Source organism: Homo sapiens, chromosome 12, assembly GCF_000001405.40.
Source record: "Homo sapiens chromosome 12, GRCh38.p14 Primary Assembly".
NCBI classification, from domain to species: Eukaryota; Metazoa; Chordata; class Mammalia; order Primates; family Hominidae; genus Homo; species Homo sapiens.
This window is the reverse complement of record NC_000012.12, coordinates 76,983,938-76,987,553: the sequence shown is the minus strand read 5'-3', so window position 1 is coordinate 76,987,553 and position 3,616 is coordinate 76,983,938. Positions and strand designations below refer to the sequence as shown.

General features: G+C 45.3%; 1 pseudogene; it reads left to right on the top strand.

The window, feature by feature from the left end:
- Window positions 2,774-3,616, top strand: LOC727803 (RAN binding protein 1 pseudogene; annotated as a pseudogene).

The following is a 3,616-nucleotide window of genomic DNA, read 5'->3' as shown; positions in this document are numbered from 1 at the left end:
ATCAATGGGAAATTGATTTTCATGCTAGGCATGAATAGTAAAATATCACTAGTTAACTTAATATCCCATAATACTTACTATGCCCCCATTATGTAGAAAATGAAAACTAAACAGACCTCAATTAGATGACTTTCATTATATTACACTGATTACAAGCTTACCAGCTTGACTTCTACAAACCACATATGTCCTCTAATTTCAAGAACTATGCAAGCAAGGACAAATTGAAAAGCAACAAAAAGAACTTTCAATCACTCCCCTGGCTCTCCAACACAATATAAAAGATAAGGTAATTTATCATAATTGAGTGAAGAGGAAGTACTGCCCTTATTCATCTGGTTCTTTAGAATTAAGAAATGTTTAAGGTAGAATGCATTTTTATCATCCAATCCTTAACAGTGGTTGATAGAAATGAAGCATCTTTTGTCTGGAGACATCAGACTAATTTAGTCACAAGGATTATAATGAGAGACATAGACTTCTCACTTCATTCATCTAGGGACAATCCTAAATAAAATTACTGACTACTGACCCTATGCCTTCCAATTATTCACTAATTTGGCTCACTGAGTGTAAACTTTTATTTTCAGTTTCAATGGCAAATAAGTATCAGAATCAAACATTTCTGTCTGCCTTCAAAGAGCAAAGAGCTTTTAGTCTAATGTGGAAGATATGGATATTGTGTTGTTAAATTCAATTCTGGAAACTCATTAGAAATATTTGGAAAGCAATGTTGGACCTATGTCATGTTGTATTCCTCTGAAGCAGACTTTGAGATGAGGATTTGTGTGCAAGGAAGTGTTTCCATAAGAAGCTGATAAGGAAGAGGGGGAAACATAACAAAGAAAAACAATGGGCCAGGTACAGTGGCTCACGCCTGTAATCCCAGCACTTTGGGAGGCCAAGGTGGGCGGATCACCTGAGGTCAGGAGTTCAAGACCAGCCTGGCCAACGTGGCAAAACCCCATCTCTACTAAAAATACAAAAATTAGCCGGGCATAGTGGCAGGCACCTGTAGTCCCAGCTACTTGGGAGGCTGAGGTAGGAGAATCACTTGAACCCGGGAGGCAGAGGTTGCATGAGCTGAGATGCACCATCGCACTTCGGCCTGGGCAACAAGAGTGAAACTCCATCTCAAAAAAAAAAAAAAAAAAAAAAAGAGAAAGAAAGAAAGAAAAAGAAAAACAATGAAACCAAGGATGCTATGGTTTTAGCAAATTCCTAGGTGGGTAGTTTCAGTCTGATTCCATAGGAGATTCTGAAGTATAAGTTACAGCCTCAAAGTCGTTGCGTCCTAAGGCAAGGAAGGTAGACTTTCATCTCCCAAAGTGATTACTCATTGGGTAAGCATCATTGCAGGGGATCAAAAACTCCCAGACTCTTCTAGTTTTCTGTGTCTATGAGTAAAGCTGTTCCAGTGGCCTAAGGACAGTCCTTTGAAGAAGAGTGACAGGTTAGAAGCTGTTAAAAGTAAAATCACATTAAAGACAGTGGAGGGGTATAAAGAAGAAGTAAAAGGGGAGGGAGGGAAACTAAATGAGCAATGGCAGTATCTACTGTCAAGAAATATGGGGGAGTGACATCAGCAAGATGGCAGAATAGGACTTTACAGCACTTATTCTGTTAGAGAAACATCACAAACAACTATCCATGCCCAAAAATACCTTTAACAAACTAAAGGATTCAAGTGAAAAATTGCAACGCCTTGGTGTAGCACAGAAATAAGAAAAGATGCACTGCCTTTTCCCGTGCCTGGGCAGCATAGCGTGCAGAAAGAAACTCTTCCAGTGGAGAAAAAAAGTGAAGTGAGCATCTGATTTTGCTGTGGATTCTGGCTCCAGACACACTACTGTGGCTGCAGGTACCAGACCAGCACACACAGACCTAAGCTGGCCACCCTCCTAAGACACAGGCTCTAGACATGACCAGAGTCAGGTCAGCCCCTGCAAACACAGGCTCCAGGCTGGCTGCTGGCCTCCAAGGTCCCAATTCCCAGCAGATTTAGCCTCCAGGCCGACTCCTGTGCCAGGTTGGAACCCAAGAACCCCAGCTCCAGGTCAGCCGCCATGACTCCAGTCACCAAACCAGCACACATGTACCTATGTTCCAGGCCAGCTCCTGCAAATACAGGCTCTATCCCCACCCAGTAACCAGCAGCCACTGCAGCCCCACACTCCAGCAGACATATGGTTCATATCTATCCCAGTAGACCCAGGTTCTAGGCTGGCCCTTGTGGCCCCAGAACACTGGTCTGCCCCTGCAAACCCAACCTCTAGGCCTGTTTTAGTGCCAGGCAGTCACCTGTGGTCAGTAAACTACAAGAGAACACAGGTATACAAAAAAAAAAAAAAAAAAAAATCAGAGACTGGGAGCAGTGGCTCACGCCTGTAATCCCAGCACTTTGGGAGAATGAGGCGGGTGGATCACCTGAGGTCAGGAGTTTGAGACCAGCCTGGCCAACATGGTGAAACCCCATCTCTACTAAAAGTACAAAAAACTAGCTGGGTGTGGTGGTGGGCGCTTGTAATCTCAGCTACCCAGGAGGCTGAGGCAGGAGAATTGCTTGAACCTGGTAGGTGGAGGTTGCAAAGAACCAAGGTCGTGCCATTGCACCCCAGCCTGGGTAAAAAGAGTGAAACTCCATTTAAAAAAAAAATCAGGGGCGGGAAGCCCGGGGCAGGCCGGACAATGAGAGTGTCCGCTGCCTGAGCCAATAAAGCTGTACTGGTTTTGAATCGCCATGCGTTTCCTGCTGCTGGGGTCAGGGGTCGAGGTTCAGGTCGCGGGGCGGAGGGAAGAGCGGGCGGGAAGGAGCTACGTAGCCGCCGAGAGGCCGCGGAGCCAGCGATAACAGACCCAGGTGAGCGGCCACCGCTGCGCCCCCATGGCGGCCGCCAAGGACACTCGTGAGGACCATGATACTTCCACTGAGAATACAGACGAGTACAACCATGACTCTCAGTTTGTCTTCCTGAGCAAGAAATTAAAACGCTGAAAGATGATGAAGAGGAACTTTTTAAAATGCAGGCAAAACTGTTCTGATTTGCCTCAGAGAACGATCTCCCAGAATGGAAGGAGCGAGGCACTGGTGACGTCAAGCTCCTGAAGCACAAGGAGAAAGGGGCCATCCGCCTCCTCATGCAGAGGGACAAGACCCTGAATATCTGTGCCAACCACTACATCATGCGGATGATGGAGCTGAAGCCCAAGCAGGTAGTGACCGTGCCTGGGTCTGGAACACCCATGCTGACTTCGCCGACCAGTACCCAAGCCGGAGCTGCTGGCCATCTGCTTCCTGAATGCTGAGAATGCACAGAAATTCAAAACAAAGTTTGAAGAATGCAGAAAAGAGATCGAAGAGAGAGAAAAGAAAGCAGGATCAGGCAAAAACGATCATGCCAAAAAAGTGGCAAAAAAGCTAGAAGCTCTCTCGGTGAAGGAGGAGACCAAGGAGGATGCTGAGGAGAAGCAATAAATCGTCTTATTTTATTTCCTTTTCCTCTCTTTCCTTTCTTTTTTTTAAAAAAAATTTTACCCTGCCCCTCTTTTTCGGTTTATTCTTTCATTTTTACAAGGGACGTTATATAAAGAACTGAATTCAACATTCAGGTTGTTT